The following is a 16,755-nucleotide window of genomic DNA, read 5'->3' on the forward strand; positions in this document are numbered from 1 at the left end:
CCAGGGTTACAGTAATACTAGTGCCAATAGAAAGTAACCTTTAAGTATAAACTAAAGCCTATTAGCACTTTGAAATCTAAATAAACCTATTTTTTTCCTGTGAATTGTTAGTAGGTGTTATTATAGAGTTCCTAAAGTTGCCTGTGAGTAGAACAGGAAATAAATTTCTCCCAATGAAAGAATATTGAAGACTTCATGACTGTCCCACAATACCCCAAAAGAGGCATTTCCTCTGAGGTTGAGCTTCCAAAAATGGAAATGCCCCAGAATGTATGGTTTAAGAGAATTTCGATGTGAGACACACACTTTTCTGGAAGAACCTGTAGCTCTTCCTTGTTGGCAGCCCCAAAGTCTATGAATCCCAAGATAGCCTCTGGTTCGGGATTGTTTTGCCATGGAGAAGAGAATGTGACATAAGGATGGCCGCCCGTCTCTTCTCTATGGGGCAGTTAGACTCATCCCCAAAGAAAGGCATCAAATCCCCATGATGCCCAGCCCCTGGTCACACCACGCAAAGATGGCAGGCCTCACAGGTCTCTTCCCTGCTGGGAAATGACAACAGTTCTCTCCCAGAAGGTGCTTCTCCCATGCTCACTCTGGAAGCACCCTTTCATCACCTTGCTATAAACTGAAATTCCCAGAAATTAGGATCTGCATCTGTAATTCCATCAGAATCTCCACATAGGTTTGAATTCTAAAATGAGAGAAGGAATCGGCTATGCCTGCTCTTGGTCTCAGCCTCTGAAATAGCTGCCTGCTGACTCATAGTGTAAACACAGGGGTTCATTCCCTTCTCTCCGAAATCTGCTCGTATGCACCCAAAATTATTATTATCTATGTCCAATCATGGAAGCAGGACAAGCTGAAAGACTGCCAGCACGGCCTCTGCCTTTCTCGATTTAAATATATAGATCTGGCTTTGGGCAGGCTCTTCAGACTGACACACTCTCCAGACGTAAATGTTATTTTATTAAGATACAGGGTGACATAAAAATATTTGTATAATCAATATATCGTGTTCTGCTTTAAAATCTGTGACAGGTCTTCAAGTAATCTCATTTTCACAGATCAAGTAGACTAGTCAGAAGTCTTGATGAATGTTGAAGGAGACATCATGGTAATTTACACTAGATTCACATTATATCCAGTTTCTGTGTGCAAAGAAATGGAAATAAGTTTGTACAAATCTTCCCCCACCTCCATAACCTAAAACACAGGAGACAACTTTAACTATATAATGTAATATTTCCAACAGGATGAGGATAGGCAGTACTTTCACCTTATTGACTTACCTTTAGCTTTTTGATTGGCTGAAGGCACTTCCTCAGAATAGATTCTTTGAAATGATCCTCTTCTTAACACAGTTCATTTTAAATATCCTACTTTTCTTAATAGTTTTCAATGCAACCCATCATCAAAGGGAAGGAGTTGATGAAAAGAAATGAAATTGAAACGTGCACCTGGGGAGAAGTGATTGAAGGTTCTTCATTTAAGGGATTGGCTCCTTTTCTCTTATTATACTGTGAAATCTGAAAACATCTCTTGAAATTCTGGTCACTGTCTTCTGGACATCCCAAGGCGCACCATCTCCACAGTTCCTCCCTCCTAGATTATCCCATCCAGTGTGGCATCCAGTGTGGCAAATGGAAAGACTCTTCCAGTGGGCAACTGAAAAGGACACCAAAGAAAGCAGATACAGCCCATGATCAAAGAAGCACATAACTTCAGTTTGGAACATGACTGATAGAAAGATCAATTAGACAATGTACACCAATCAAAGGTAAGCACCAACAGGTGCTATTGTACCAGAAAACAAACACAAAGGCTGAGGCTTTCCAGTGTTTGGGGAAACAGCCTCAATAAAAGGGATCTCAGGAATGGATTTATCCTTCTATCCTTCCTTCCACCCCTTCAACTGAGCCTCTACTACATGCTGGGCACTGTGCCAAAGGCCGGCAACTCGGAAATGAATAGGCTTGGTTCCTGCCCTCAAGTGACTTATAGTCCACGGTGGCGGTGGAGGGTGGGTGGATAGGGAAGTTGTTGAGGGAAGACAAAGAAACGTGCAGTGAAGTTTACCAGAACATAGGGTGTAGGCTGCTGACGGAGCATGAAGGAGGAAGGAGACAAGGACTCTGGGAGTTCAGGAAAGGATGTATCCCGGATAGAGGTGATGCCTAGGCAGAGTCTGGAAATATGAGTAATAATAAGAGCAAGCATACAGGAAGATACAGGCTGGGCGCAGTGGCTCACGCCTGTAATCCCAAGCACTTTGGGAGGCCGAGGCACGTGGGTCACTTGAGGTAAGGAGTCAGGGGTGCTGGTGGAACACTTGAGGCCAGGAATTCGAGACCAGCCTGGCCAACATGGTGAAACCCCATCTCTACTAAAAATACAAAAACTAGCCAGGCGTGGGGGTGCATGCCTGTAATCATAGCTACTCAGGAGGCTGAGGCAGGAGAATCGCTTGAACCAGGGAGGTGGAGGTTGTAGTGAGCAAAGATAGCGCCACTGCATTCCAGCCTGGGGACTGCAGGAGACTTCATCTCAAAAAAAAAAAAACAACAAGATATGGCAGATGCTGCTGCCATCTGTACACAGTTTTAGATGTATTAACTCATTTAATTCTCTCAAGACCTCAAGTTTAGATATCAGTGCTATCCCCATTTCATGATGCACAGAGAGATCAAGTAACTTGCCCAAGTCAAGCAGCTACCTTGGGGCTGAGCTGGAGTTTAAACCCAGGCACTCAGTGACAGCATCCACACTCATAACCACGATGCTAAGAGTTTGCCAGACAGGTGAGAAGCAACATTTTTGGAAGAGGGTCAGGGCCATAGGTTTTGTGAAGTGACAGAGCATGACATTCAGATTCAGTAGGGCTTAAAGACCCAAGTTTTGGAAAGTAGAGGAGATCTGAACCTTAGCCGTAGCTTCTAGAGGTGGGCTAAGAGCAACCTGGGCACATGTAGTGGTGACCAGAGGACTTGCAGCCATCAAATCACTATGGTGTGCTGTTTATTTCTCCCAAAGACTCAGGAGGGGAGAGGTTTGATACTTTTTTCTCATATCAGATAACTTTAAAATGTAGTTTTATATTATAGAATAGGATGTAAAATTACCATGACATTTTTCCTTGTTTCTTCTTCCTTTTGATATATGATTTAAATTGTTTCTTTAATGTATTTATTTATACTAAATAAAACAACTCATGGTTATATAAATTATTTCTCTTCCTGAAATTCCTTCATTCTTTTTCACCGAGATAGTCCCTCTGTCCACGCTTATACAACTAGATATTGATGCATGTGGGCAAAATTAGGGTGTTTTGCTGTTTGTTTATACAGATATGGAAACAATGCACTCTTTATTCCATGGCTTGCTTTGCTCACTTAATAATACCTCATGGACAACCCCCTAGCATCATCTTACTGAGAATCGTACAGTAATCCATACCATCACTTTTGTACCATTCCCCTACAGATGGATGGTTTCCAGATTCTGCCTCTTCAAGCAAAGCTGAAACAAATACTTCTGTCTATACATTTCTCCCTCCTCTGCGTTTACACTTTAAAAATTATACAGTCGTTACTGGACTTTTTTTTTTTGACAGAGTCTTGCTGTCACCCAGGCTGGAGTGCAGTGGCACGATCTCTGCTCACTACAAGCTCCGCTCCGAGGTTCAAGCAATTCTCCTGCCTCAGCCTCTTAAGTAGCTGAGACTACAGGCGCCCACCACCACGCCCAGCTAATTTTTATATTTTTAGTGGAGACAGGGTTTCACCATGTTGGCCAGGATGGTCTCGATCTCTTGACCTCATGATCCACCCGCCTTGGCCTCCCAAAGTGCTGGGATTACAGGCATGAGCCACCACGCCCGGCCGGTTATTGGACTTTTTACCAAAGGCCCACTTCTACCTTCAAGGGAAATGGCTCCCTAGCATTTGCTCCTAAAAGCAAATGGTCTGTTCAGGCCTAAAATTTCAAATTGTGTTCAATAGGCTACTTTTTACAGGACTCTGTTTTCCCTAGAAGACTGCATGAAACAATTTCCAGAAAATGTAAACTCCAGTCTTCATGGATAATTTCCTCCACCTACCTAATTTGCACCATCGAAACAAAGCTTTTTCTAAAACCGCTAATCAGAAGGTCTTATGTTGTTTTCTATTCGACCATAGCCTTTTAAAATAACAGTTGAAATGTCAAAGAAATCCCAAGTTCACCGCAGGTGTTCCTGGACTGGGCTGTTAAGTCGTGACAGTCAACATGAGAGGGCCAAGGAAGGCGGGAACCTAGGGCTCAGGCGGAGGGGCCAGGTCAGATTCAGAAGAGCTGGGCGCTCTTTTTTGTATGAGCCTGGGTCTTGCTCTCTTGCCGGGCTGGAGCACAGTGGCACAATCACGGCTCACTGCAGCCTCGGACTCCTGAGCTCAAGCCCTCCTCCCAGCTCAGCCTCCTGAGTGGCTGGGACTACAGATGCACCACCACACTCGGCTAAGTTGCTCTTTTGATTTCCTCTCTGCAATATTGAAGCCGTTTTCATCTGAAATTGATTCTGTTTGTCAAGGAAGACTAAAACCAAACAGAAAGTGCCTGAGTTCTGCTTCCTCCAAGCCTCTTGCCACAGCAGTCCCTGTTCAGCAGTCAGGGCCCACTCTCAGTTCCTTATCCCCAACCTTTTGCTGCTGCTCTGCCCTCACCACCCAGCCGCCTCCCTTGCAGTTTCAACAGCTCCTGCTCAGGTAAGCCCTCCCTCTTCCCGACAACCCCCACCCCTCTCCTCCAAGGCTATCCACTCCCAACCTCTACTGCCCCCTCGTAAGTGTGAGCTCCCTGAGGGTAGGAACGTCATCATCCCGTGTGGCTCCCACCACATCCCTGGTGCCCTGCACTGGGTCTGCTTTACAGAAACACACAGGTAAGCACACAAATGGCCTCAGGCACGTCACGGACACCTCCTGCCATGAACCAGACACTGTTCCAAGAGTTTCACACACGTCATTTTGTTTAATTCTTAAAACCACTCTCTGGGGTAGACACCAATCATGTCCCCTTTGTAGGTATGGAAGCTGAGATAAGGCTCCATACATGCAAGCATGGGGTCCTCTCGTCAGCCAAACACACTCCTTTAATCTGACTTAAAATGACTATAAGCGGCTTCTCCAGGCTCTTCAGCCGCTCCCACAACCCCCAGCGCATTTTGGGTTTTGGCCTCTCTGATGCAAGTCTTACTCATGCCTTCTGTGCTCCTTATTGACTTCTATCTTGATTGTATCCTTTTTGCATCAGTTTCATAACTGCCCCTATGGGGTTAGAACTCATTAGAGAGCTGCCAGTGCAGCCACTCTGTTGGAGGGGACAAGTGGAGGTGTCTGTCTGTTATTTTCAGTAAGCTCGAGCTGTAACGACACAGGGTGAGTCCCAGGGAGAAGTGCATCCAGTCATCCGGAGGCCGCCTCTTCCAAAACCCTGGGCCACGGAACCGGTAGTGTCCATCTTTCCCCTGAATTTTAAGAAATGAGCATCTTAATCCGCTGGGATACAGGGAGGAGAACATCACACACGAGGGCCTGTTGAGGGGTAGGGGCAGCGGGTGGGAGAACATTAGGACAAATACCTAATGCATGCAGGACTTAAAAGCTAGATGGTGGGTTGATAGGTGCAGCAAACCACTATGGCACATGTATACCTGTGTAACAAACCTGCATGTTCTGCACATGCATCCTAGAACTTAAAGTAAAATAAAATAAAAGACAGAAAGAAATAAACATTCTAAGGTCAGGCATGGTGGCACATGCCTGTAATCCCAGCACTTTGGGAGGCCGAGGTGAGTGGGTCACCTGAGGTCAGGAGTTCAAAACCAACCTAACCAACATGGCGAAACCCCGTCTCTACTAAAAATACAAAAATTAGCCGGGCGTGGTGGCAGGCGCCTGTAATCCCAACTACTTGGGAGGCTGAGGCAGGAGAATTGCTCGAACCTGGGAAGCAGAGGTTGCAGTGAGCTGAGATTGTGCCACTGTACTCCCGCTTGAGCGACAGAGCGAGACTATGTCAAAAAAAGAGAGAGACAGAGAGGGAAAGAAAAAGAAAGAAAGGAAGGAAGGAAGGAAGGAAGAAAAGAAGGAAGGAAGGAAAGAAAGAAAGAAAGAGAGAGAGAGAGAGAAAGAGAGAAAGAAAGAAAAGCATTCTACACATTTAGAGTTCAGTGAAAATTGTTCACATCTGAGTCTCCCCACTGGCCAGCACACTCTTTCTCCCAAGGTGGTCATAAGTAGCACTGTATGCACTTGGTCATTTACAAGTATTGACAGGAGTAGTTTCCCTAGTTCTTCCTGTGCCCTCTGGAAAATAACGTCAGCAAGAGAAGTCAGGAATTTTCTGGAGGTCTGCTATAAAGGGAGTGAAGCCCCGTGAGGCTCACCTTGACCAGCCCCCCAGTGCTGCTGTCCCTGCCCTGGGCCTGTTTTGTGAGCTGTGTCTGAGGCACCTGCCATTTTCTCTGTCTTGTCACAGGAGCAGTCATGTCCCCACCCCCGGCCACAGTCACTGCTATTCATCTCCTGCCACAGTTCTGCCTCTTAAAGGATATGTGTCCACCCTCTCCCACGCCTCACCATCCCCCATACACATACACACAGAGGCCAAATTACACAGCAGAGGAGTGATGGTGGACACAGCCATGCTTGCAAGATTCCTTCCTATATTTTATTTTTCTCTTGGCTCATCTAGTTTCAAAGTTTACTATACTACAGTCTCTCTTCCCTTCCCCCTGCAACTCTGCACACAGACACACACACATACACACACACACACACATACACACACACACACACGCACACACACACACACAGACACCTACCCTACTAGAAGCAATTCTTGGCCACACCTCCCCAGAGCTTACAGCAGTGCCCAGGGCATGGGTGTGGCCCCAGGCAGACAGAACTCTGCTCCCAACAGTTCAACTTCACCTCCTAGAATAATCCCCTCTTCAGCATTGGACCCTCAAAAACATCCCATCAGGACCTACAAATCTAGGACCTGCTCTTAGGGACATCTCTAAGCAAAGGTGTGCTCTCTCTGTAACTCTCTCTCTGTCTCTCCATCTCTGTCTCTCTCTGTCTCTCTATCTCTGTCTTTCTCTCTGTCTCTCTCTGTCTCTTTCTCTCTATCTCTGTCTCTTTCTCTCTGTCTCCCTCTCTCTTTCTGTCTCTGTCTCTGTCTCCCTCTCTTTCTGTCTCTCTGTCTCTGTCTCCCTCTCTCTTTCTGTCTCTCTGTATGTCTCTGTCTGTGTGTGTCTCTCCATCTGTGTGTGTGTGTCTGTCTGTCTCTCTCTCTTTCTCTCCCTGTCTCTATCTTTCACGGCGCCCTCACTCTCAGGCTCCCGCTTTCCTGTGCAGATGCGTCTCCTGCCCTCATTTCTTCCCTCATTTACTGACAGTCAGTAACTGCCTACTTGGCTGCAGGCCCGCACTCCATCACTGGTCTTACAAACCAGTTCAAGAGATGGATAGACAACTACTACTACTAATAATAAAATTCTAAGTCCTGTACCTAAAATACAAACTGTTAGCTATTTGAAAACAGAGCAGAAAGCAATCATTTCTGCTTGGACTGTGAGGGAAGGCTGTGGTGAAGAGCTAACATATGAGTTGGGTCTTGAAGGATGTGTAGGAGTTTCCTGGCAAAGGACAGGAAGGGCATTCCAGGGAGAGGAGGCAACATAGCAAAACTCAATGAGAAGGGCGTGACATGAAAATAATAAAGGACTGTGTGGCTACAGTATGGGAGGTAGGGGCAGGGGGTGGCTTTTGTTTACCAGAGTATACAGATCTTGAAACAGCACAGAATAGGCCCTCAGCAAATATTTATTTTGGATATTGAAAGAAGAAGGATAAAGCCAGATTTTTATGCCATACAGGAAAGTCTAAAGTCTAAACCTTAGTGTGTAGACAGTGAGAATTCACCAAACTTTTTTTTTTTTCTTTTGAGAAGGAGTCTAGCTCTTGTCACCCAGGCTATAATGCAATGGCGCAATCTCGGCTCACTGCAACCTCTGCCTCCCAGGTTCACACAATTCTCCTGCCTCAACCTCCCGAGTACCTGGGATTACGGGCATGTACCACTACGCCCAGCTAATTTTTGTATTTTTAGTAGAGACAGGGTTTCACCATGTTCCCCATGCTGATCTCAAACTCCTGACCTCAGGCGATCTGCCCACCTCGGCCTCCCAAAGTGCTGAAACTGCAGGCATGAGCCACCATGCCCAGCCAACCAAACTTTTTTAAATTAGGGAAATGGCATTATTACATCTGGGTTTCAGAAAAGAGATTACTCAAGACTGTATATAAAATAGATTCCAAAGGGGAAGTTTAGGGGGCAGATGGCAGCACACCGGCTATTTTTTACCAGGTACGTTGAATTGATGAGGCTATCCTTTCCTTTCCTTTCCTTTGCTTTGCTTCAAATCTTGGTTATTCTTGGGAACTCATATAACTACCTTGCATTATGAAAATCACTTCACTTGTTTAACATATTCACCTGTTTAATACATGGACATACAGGCCTCTGACACCATTCGTTTTAGTTCTGCCTCTCTTCATTGTTTTCTCCGAAACCTCGCTCACTCACGCTTATTTCCAAAGGATATTTGCTGTCCCCATAGCAGCCAGCTTTCATCAGCTCTTCAAGGATTAATACTCCCTCTTTCTCCATTTTCATTTTAAATCCCACTCAATGCACAGCTCTGTCGCTGTGAGTCAGTTGTTTGCCAAGTTAACGCTTTCCTTTTGCCGGGTGCCTCCTGGAGATGCAGTACCATAATCAACCGTAGAGATGACTGTAAACGTGGACACCTCAGACTCCAGGTCAGGCCATCACCAGAAATATGTTGAGCTAACAGTTCTCACCACATGACAAGATTCTTATTTCTTCTTGGTTTGGTGCCAGCCTCCACCCTACCCTTCCTTTTCATAAGTCTCTGGGGGAAGCTGGACTCCAGGGGCGAGCATTAGAGGAGGTGGAAAGGTGGTCATCACCCCATATGACCCGGCCTGTGACTCCCACTGGGACAAACTTAAGAAGAAATAAATTGTAGCTCTAGCATTTCAAGCTAGAGAAGAGATTTGCTTTTTCAATAAAACAATGATAGAATTTTGGACCCAATCATGTTTTCCTTCTTGTTTCCTTGAAAATTATTTCCTGCATAATTCTGTGGCAGCCCACGGACCCATGGCAGTTCCACACACGAGTCCTGTCAATTTCGGAAGTCTTTCCTTTCTGCCAACAGCTTCAGTGCTGGGATTAGCACATCACTCATCAAATAAGACAGGAGAATGGTCTCCCCACAGGAACCTCTGCTCTTGAATTCCTATACTCATCTCATTTATAAAAAGTTAAGCACTCGTGGCATAACTTGTGTCCGATCCAAAAAGACTTTAGCTGTACTTTGTTAAAACATGTACCATATTTAAAATCTAAAAGTATTATGAAACTCAGTCTCTAGAAAATCATTGTACTACCTTACTAATTCTAATTTTTATGGGAATTGCACTAATTCTTAAACTAGCAAGCAAAGAAGGAATTAATGTACAAGAACCATTGAAAGGAACATGATTTTCTTTTCTTGTTTTGTTTTCTTTTTTATAAACAAAAAAATATATAAGGAATAATTTATCCTTAAGGATATTTTCTTGAGATTATTTCCATTCAATTTCTTAGAGACTTCCAGGATAAGCAGATACTTGAGCTACAGACCTGGAATGAGAAAAGCAATGAACCTTAAGAGGGCAGGCCGGGTGCAGTGGCTCATGCCTGTAATCCCAGCACTTTGGGAGGCCGAGGCGGGTGGATCACCTAAGGTCAGGAGTTTGAGACCAGCCTGACCAACATGGAGAAACCCATCTCTACTAAAAATACAAAATTAGCCAGGCATAGTGGCACATGCCTGTAATCCCAGCTACTCGGGAGGCTGAGGGCAGGAGAATCTCTTGAACCCGGGAGGCTGCCATGAGCTGAGATCACGCCATTGCACTGCAACCTGGGCAACAAGAGCAAAACTCTGCCTCAAAAAAAAAAAAAAAAAAAGAGGGCAGAGTTCTGTGTGCATCTTCTAAGGCTGAGCATGGGAGTCCTTGAAAGGGGACGTTGTGGTTGGTGGCCTATGGTAGATTGAGTCATTAGCATTAATGCTTATCCATCCCTATACCGATCCTGTCTTTATTTAAAAACTTTGGTATTTTGCTCATCCCAAATGTTCTGCATTAACTTTGGTTTTTAAAAATATTTTATATTAATTATTTATCTTGATTAAATATCTTGACGCCCCTTAAACTTTTCACTGAAGACAAGTATTTGCTCGTCTCACCCTAGTCTTAGTACTGCTCACACCCTTTGCCATGTGATGTTGGAGTTCCTCCACTCACCAGACAGAATATATTTCTCCTCCTTTTGACTTTGAGGTTAGTCATGTGACTGGTGTTGGCCAATAAAATGAGAAAGGATGGTGTGTCACTTCCACTTGCCCTATTTCTCTTCCACTCTTACCATGAGAAGAACTTGCCTTTGGTCCCACGAGGAGAAGCTATATGGAGCAGAGAAGGAGATTTACAGGGAGCAGAGGCAGCCCAGCCAAGCTCTATCAGGTGCACCCAGCCTAGACCAGCCAAGACACAGAGACCTGAGCTAAATCAGTACTTACTGTTGGGATTTTCTCATTGTTTGTTTCACAGAAATGGATTACACACACCAACATACCAACAAACCAACAACAATTATTTCAGCCTGGCTGGTTCGTGTAAGTTAATCCTGGTAATCCTGTTCCCTTTCCCCTTGTCAGTACTTGGCTGAGGAAGGGAGATGTCTAGGCCCATTGGGGCCAATGAAACATAAAAGAGATTTGCTGGAGTCTTCAGGATAAATTATTTCTTTCTTTTATGTGATATGCCAAGATATACTCTCTAATTCCCTTTCTTTCTTCTTTGTGAATAAGAAAGAATGTAGTTTTGGCCAGGCGCTGTGGCTCACGCCTGTAATCCCAGCACTTTGGGAGACCAAGACGGGCGGATCACTTGAGGTCAGGAGTTTGAGACCAGCCTGGCCAACACAGTGAAACCCCATCTCTGCTAGAAACCACACAACCATCAAAAATTAGCCGGGCGTGGTGGCACAAGCCTGTAATCCCAGCTACTCGTAGAAGAATCACTTGAACCTGGGAGGTGGAGGTTGCAGTGAGCCAAGATCGCACCACTGCACTCCAGCCTGGGTGACAGAGCAAGACTGTCTCAAAAAAAAAAAAAAAAAAAAAGAAAGCCAGGCATGATGGCTCACGCTTGTAATCCTAGCACTTTGGGAGGCTGAGAGGGGCGGATCGCAAAGTCAAGAGATCGAGCCCATCCTGGCTAACATGGTGAAACCCCGTCTCTGCTAAAAATACAAAAATTAGCTGGGCTTGGTGGAGCACGCCTGTAATCCTAGCCACTCAGGAGGCTGAGGCAGGAGAATTGCTTGAACCTAGGAGGCAGAGGTTGCAGTGAGCCAAGATTGCACCACTGCCTTCCAGCCTGGGTGACAGAGAGAGACTCCATCTCGAAAGAAAGAAAGAAAGAAAGAGAAAGAAAGAAAGAAAAAGAAAGAAAGAAAGAAAGAAAGAAAGAAAGAAAGAAAGAAAGAAAGAAAGAAAGAAAGAAAGAAAAGAAAGAAAGAGAGAAAGAAAGAGGGAGAGAGGGAGGAAGGAAGGAAGGAAGGAAGGAAGGAAGGAAGGAAGGAAGGAAGGAAGGAAGGACAGGGAAGGGAAGGGAAAGGAAAGGAAAGGAAAGAAAAGGAAAGGAAAGGAAAAAGAAAAACAAAGCATGCAGTTCTGATGACCAAATACGCTCCCCCAAAGACCTCCAGGGGAATGAGCCTGAGAACAAAGTCATCTATGGAGGAGTACAGAGCTGTGGCAATCACAGGAGAGTAAGGCAGAAGGCTTGGTAGAACCATGTGAAGCCTGACCAGCCACTGGGTTTTCATGCATGTGATTTGGTGCATGTCTTTATGGTTTAAGCCAGTTTGAGTTAGCCTTCTGTTTCTTGCCACCGAAAGCACTCTCTAGCTGATTCAGGTCATATGACGACTGTTTCTGAACTCACTTCAGTACTCTCTCTCCACATTATTCCAACTTTAACAGGCAACTACTTGTGATCTGAAAGAGTGTTCAGGCATAAGGCTCATGGTCATGATTGACAGTTCCACAGTCCTTCCCTCACAGGGAGCTTCACATGGCTTTCTGCCTGCATTCCAGATGGTGTCTCTTCCTCCCTCAATGTGACCATAATTATACATGTCACTTCTCACTTTTCCCCATGATATCTCTACTTTAAACTGGACGAGAAAGAGAATAATGAAATCAGTTGAGGTATTTTCATATGATGGAACATCATAAATCCATTAAAAATAATTTATATATTAATTCAGCAAAGGTCTACTCGGCACTTACTGTGTTCCAGGGACTGTACTATAGAAAAATGCCTGATGATATGGAAAATGTTAAATGTAGGCTACACAAAATTTTAGCTATAAAATGTAACTACCGTATCTAATTTAGATGATACTTAGATGAGACTTTGGACTTTAGACCTTAAAGTTGTTGCTGGAATAAGTCAAGACTTTTGAGGTTGTTGGGATGGAATAAATGTATTTTGCATGGAAGAAGGACATGAATTTTGGGGGACCTGGGGCAAAACGTTATGGACTAATTGTTGATATCCCTTAAAATCCATGTTGAAGCCCTAACCCCCAATGTAATGGTATTTGGAGGTGGAGCCTTTGGAAGGTAATTACGTTTAGATGAGGTCATGAGGGCAGGACCCTGTGATGGGACTGGTCCCGTTAGAAGAGGGAGAGACACCAGAGCTCATTCTCTCCATCAGGAGAGGACATAGCAAGAAGTCTGCAAGCCAGGAAGAGGCCCTCACCAGGAGATGAATCTGCCTGCATCTTGATCTTGAACCTCCCAGCCTCCAGAACTGTGAGAAATAAATGTTTGTTGATTAAGGAAACAAATAAAACATAATTACAATACAATCAAATATATGAAAAAGGAGTGTGTATGTGTGTTTCTGCGTGTGTATACCTACAAAGAAAATAAGACTAAAAAACTATTCTAAAAATATTCATAAGAGTTATCTCTGAATTTTGGCAGAATGTGCAATTTGCTGCTTCTTTGTATTTTTCCAGATTTATCATATCTTCTATAATTAACATGTTACTTCTGTAAATAGGAAAAATATGCAACAAAAGAAATTATGCTAGTGTCTTTGATAAATCTAATAAATCTGGAAGTGTTTGTATTCTAGATTGATTAGCTATTATAATTATGTGATTTCTTTCTTCTTTCAATGGGCCTTGATGTTTAACATATATTTACACAAAATTGCTATGTATATGAGCTAGAGAGGAGTATTTTTAAGTAATCAAGAAGTCATATTTACATTTAGAATTGCCTCTCTTTTCATGCCAGATGTAAAATTTGGAAAGAGAAAGAAGAACCAGGCAGTCGTTGCAGACCATATATACAACTGAGTCCTCCTCAAAAACCTCTCAGTATACTTCCAAGAGGGCAGGAAAAAGGAGAAAAAGAGAGAGCATGTCATGAGACCCAGTTCTCTGGGGGCTCAAGAATGAGTTAAACTAACTCCTTCCACCCTGCTAGCAGGGAAGAGTTGATTGTACCTTCAAGCCTCTGATCAACCAGTATGTGAAAACCCACATACTGAGACACTTCCAGAAAAGAACTGGTTACTATTAAAAAGAAGGAAAGTTAATTTTAAAAAAAGGAAGTGAAAAGGAAGAGGAAACATTTTACAGTTTTCATTGCAAAATGACAATACAATAATTCATCTTAAAATATTATATAATAACTTCATCTCAAAACAATAACACAGTAATTCTGTTGTACTACTAGAGGGCATTGGAGTAAAGGAAATATATTAGAATTGTATGGGTGGAATGTATACTTGCATATAGAATTTAATATTTATAAACTATATAAATTCAGAATTATAAACTATATTAATTTTGCTTCCTCTTTGATAAAACTCTTTCATACACATCATTGCATTAGATTCTCACAACCTCCTTTATGTGGTACTTAACACAAATGTTCTCCCCTTTCTTTATATGAAGAAGAGACCCATGGAGGCAGGGTAGTATTCAAGCCCAAGTCTTATGTGGTCAGGGGAAAACTCGAATATATTATTCATGCTGATGAGATACAGAAATATCTCATTTGCCTTCTTTTTAATATGTTTATTGCACTAGAAAAATTGATTACGCTGGATAAAATTTTCCACACATGGAAAAGCACCCAGTACAGTTCCTGCATTTGGTGGATGTTCCCAAAATATAAGATGACTGACATGTACTTGATCTTAATAAGGAACAGACTTCTTTAGAAAATTACAGCCTTTATATTAGAGTTTTCATTACTCTTTGCTTTGCTCAAAACTCGCCTACATGCTACTGAAGGATTTCATCCCAGGGGATAAAAAACTTTGTCTCAAATATCAGAGGACTTGAGGTCAAAAGCTCCTAAAGGTAGCAATTTATCTCTTTCTTTATAATTAAGTCAGTTTAAATTAATTTGGACCATAGTTCTAAAGAAAACCAATCTGATCCCAAACATTTCACGTGTAAAATGAAAAAGAATAAAGCTAGAAACCACACAACCATCTAAAATTTTTCCTGCTAAGAAAATTGCCACAGTCAGAGTGGTTGGTTAGCTGCTGAAAAACAAGCTGGGTTGCGCTTAGTGAAGATTGAATCTTCCTTTCAACAGACATTGTCTCTGGCTGTGAGGTTCACATCTTACAACACCCAGTAAGCACGTCCACGGAAAGTAAAAAGTTCAATAAATCATTCAGATGGTTTCAAATACTCAAAATACATGCACTCAGGAGGATCCACTGTCTTGGCAGCTGTGTGAATTTTTCACATTTCTACCTGATAAAGTTCTTGGGGAAAAGTTTCCTCTTCTCTGGGAACCTGGGAACATGGTATTCTGCACCCACCTGTGTGTGGAATAGGCATAAATTTGTCTGCCAGATGGGGAAAAACCTTCTAGAAACTAAGATCCATGTTTCTTTAAAATGACTCTGCTTTTTCCCCACTGAGACCCTCAGTGTATGGACCGAATGCAGCTGAAGTAGGGTGGCCTGCCAGGCTTTCAGGGAGCTTCCAGACTGGGCAAGTCAGGGTGGCCCATGAACCCCTGGCCTCAGAATCTTGTCAGTGATGTCAATAATTAGAATTATGCCAATAATAATGTCAGTAATGCTAATAATAATAGTGCTTGTCAATAATGCAGATCCTTGGGGCTCATCTCAGACCTTCCCAATCAGAATCTCTGGGGGCAGAGTCTTGGAGTCTGCATTTTAACAAGCTCCCCTGATAACTCCCCTAAAATCTGGGCAGCACTGATCTCATAGCTCCTGGGGGAGCAAGACAAGCACAAGCGAGGGCAAGTGAATGCAACTCTAAGAAAGAGCACTGGCTCCATCCAAGCGGACAGATCAACGACGGGTACACAGACTGGTCAGGAAAAAAATGCTAGACAGAGAGAAGTTCAAACAGTGGGGAGTGACGAAGAAGCAAGCTTTTGCCCACATGAGAGAAAGTGTAGCTCCCCATCCAGTCCACGCTACTATAGCAACTAGGGAAGTTGAGATAGCAGAGGGAGAACTGCAGCAGCTGTGTTTGTGGCTAGGCCCGCTGGTCTGGATGCGGCCTGGGATTTGCCCCTTCTCCAGCTAGAGAGTCTGGGGATCCCACAGGAGCAGTAAGGCCACACAGCGGTGTTGTGCACATGAACCGAAGGCAGTGAGTCTCTACTCTAGTGGTGAGCCCATTAGTGTTTAACAATGGGCTCTCCAGGGGAAAATAAAACCCTGACTTACAGCATTTGCCGCTTTCTATGGTGTAAATACTCCCACCATGGCTAATTTCAAGTCATTCAGTGATGTCACTGAACATGAACTTAGGAAAATATAGACACACAATGGCTCTCACATGCCAGAGTGAGCCCCCTCCAGTGCATGACTGCCTACACACACACACACACACACACACACACACACACACACTTCTCACATAAATACACTTTTACTTTTGTATGATTCTGTCCTATACCTAAGGGAAGAAGACTGTTCCTCCTGTCCAGTAACTGAACATACAACTATTCTTTGCTGATCATGCATTTGCTCAGAAGCATCCATTTTTATACAAAAGATAATTTTTCCCTGAGTTAAGTAAAAAGTTTTGCATTGAGAAAATGTTAATCACTGTTAACCTATCTCTTTTCAGTCTGATAAAGAAATTACCATATGCCTATATAGTATATCAGCAGATTAGTTTCTCTCCCTTCCCAAAAGACATTCACATCCTAATCACCAGAACGTGTGAATACATCATGTGACATGGCAAAGGGAAATTAAGGTTGAAGGTGGAAGCAAGCTACTGATCAGCTGACTTTAAAGTAGGGAGATTATTCTGGATGATTCTGGACCAGTGTTAGCACAGAGGTTCAGCAGGGTTGGTGTCAGAGTTATGGGATGTGAATAAGGTTCTACAACCCACTGCTGGCTTTGAAAATGGAGGAAAGGGCCACAAACCAAAGAATGAGGGTCACCTCTAGACGCTAGAAAGGGCAAGAAAACACTCTCTCCCAGGGCCTCCAGAAAGGAACACAATGCTGTCAACCCCTTGATTTTAGCTCAG

At 43.6% G+C, this 16,755-nt stretch overlaps 1 protein-coding gene and 1 long non-coding RNA gene across 2 annotated transcripts in view, besides 3 other annotated features; one reads left to right on the forward strand and one right to left on the reverse strand.

Moving 5' to 3' along the window:
- Window positions 1–16,755, forward strand: part of TAB2 (TGF-beta activated kinase 1 (MAP3K7) binding protein 2) — a 193,682-nt gene that overhangs the window by 24,408 nt on the left and 152,519 nt on the right. The gene's annotated exons all lie outside the window — the stretch shown is intronic.
- Window positions 950–15,218, reverse strand: TAB2-AS1 (TAB2 antisense RNA 1). The gene is made up of 3 exons (NR_149096.1): window positions 15,051–15,218; window positions 1,293–1,668; window positions 950–1,151 (listed from the first exon to the last, which is right to left on the reverse strand). It is a non-coding gene; the product is annotated as a TAB2 antisense RNA 1 (long non-coding RNA).
- Window positions 4,704–4,753: an enhancer, noted in NCBI's record as "active region_25250". NCBI's record gives its function as "activates an Ori minimal core promoter by ATAC-STARR-seq in GM12878 lymphoblastoid cells {active_cell/tissue: GM12878}" and the evidence as "EXISTENCE:reporter gene assay evidence [ECO:0000049][PMID:35858748]".
- Window positions 7,526–7,726: a silencer, noted in NCBI's record as "peak6208 fragment used in MPRA reporter construct". NCBI's record gives its function as "represses an SCP1 promoter by STARR-seq MPRAs in K562 erythroleukemia cells {active_cell/tissue: K562}" and the evidence as "EXISTENCE:reporter gene assay evidence [ECO:0000049][PMID:32103011]".
- Window positions 12,166–12,366: a silencer, noted in NCBI's record as "peak6209 fragment used in MPRA reporter construct". NCBI's record gives its function as "represses an SCP1 promoter by STARR-seq MPRAs in K562 erythroleukemia cells {active_cell/tissue: K562}" and the evidence as "EXISTENCE:reporter gene assay evidence [ECO:0000049][PMID:32103011]".

The sequence above is a fragment of the Homo sapiens genome, chromosome 6 (assembly GCF_000001405.40).
Source record: "Homo sapiens chromosome 6, GRCh38.p14 Primary Assembly".
Lineage (NCBI taxonomy): Eukaryota > Metazoa > Chordata > Mammalia > Primates > Hominidae > Homo > Homo sapiens.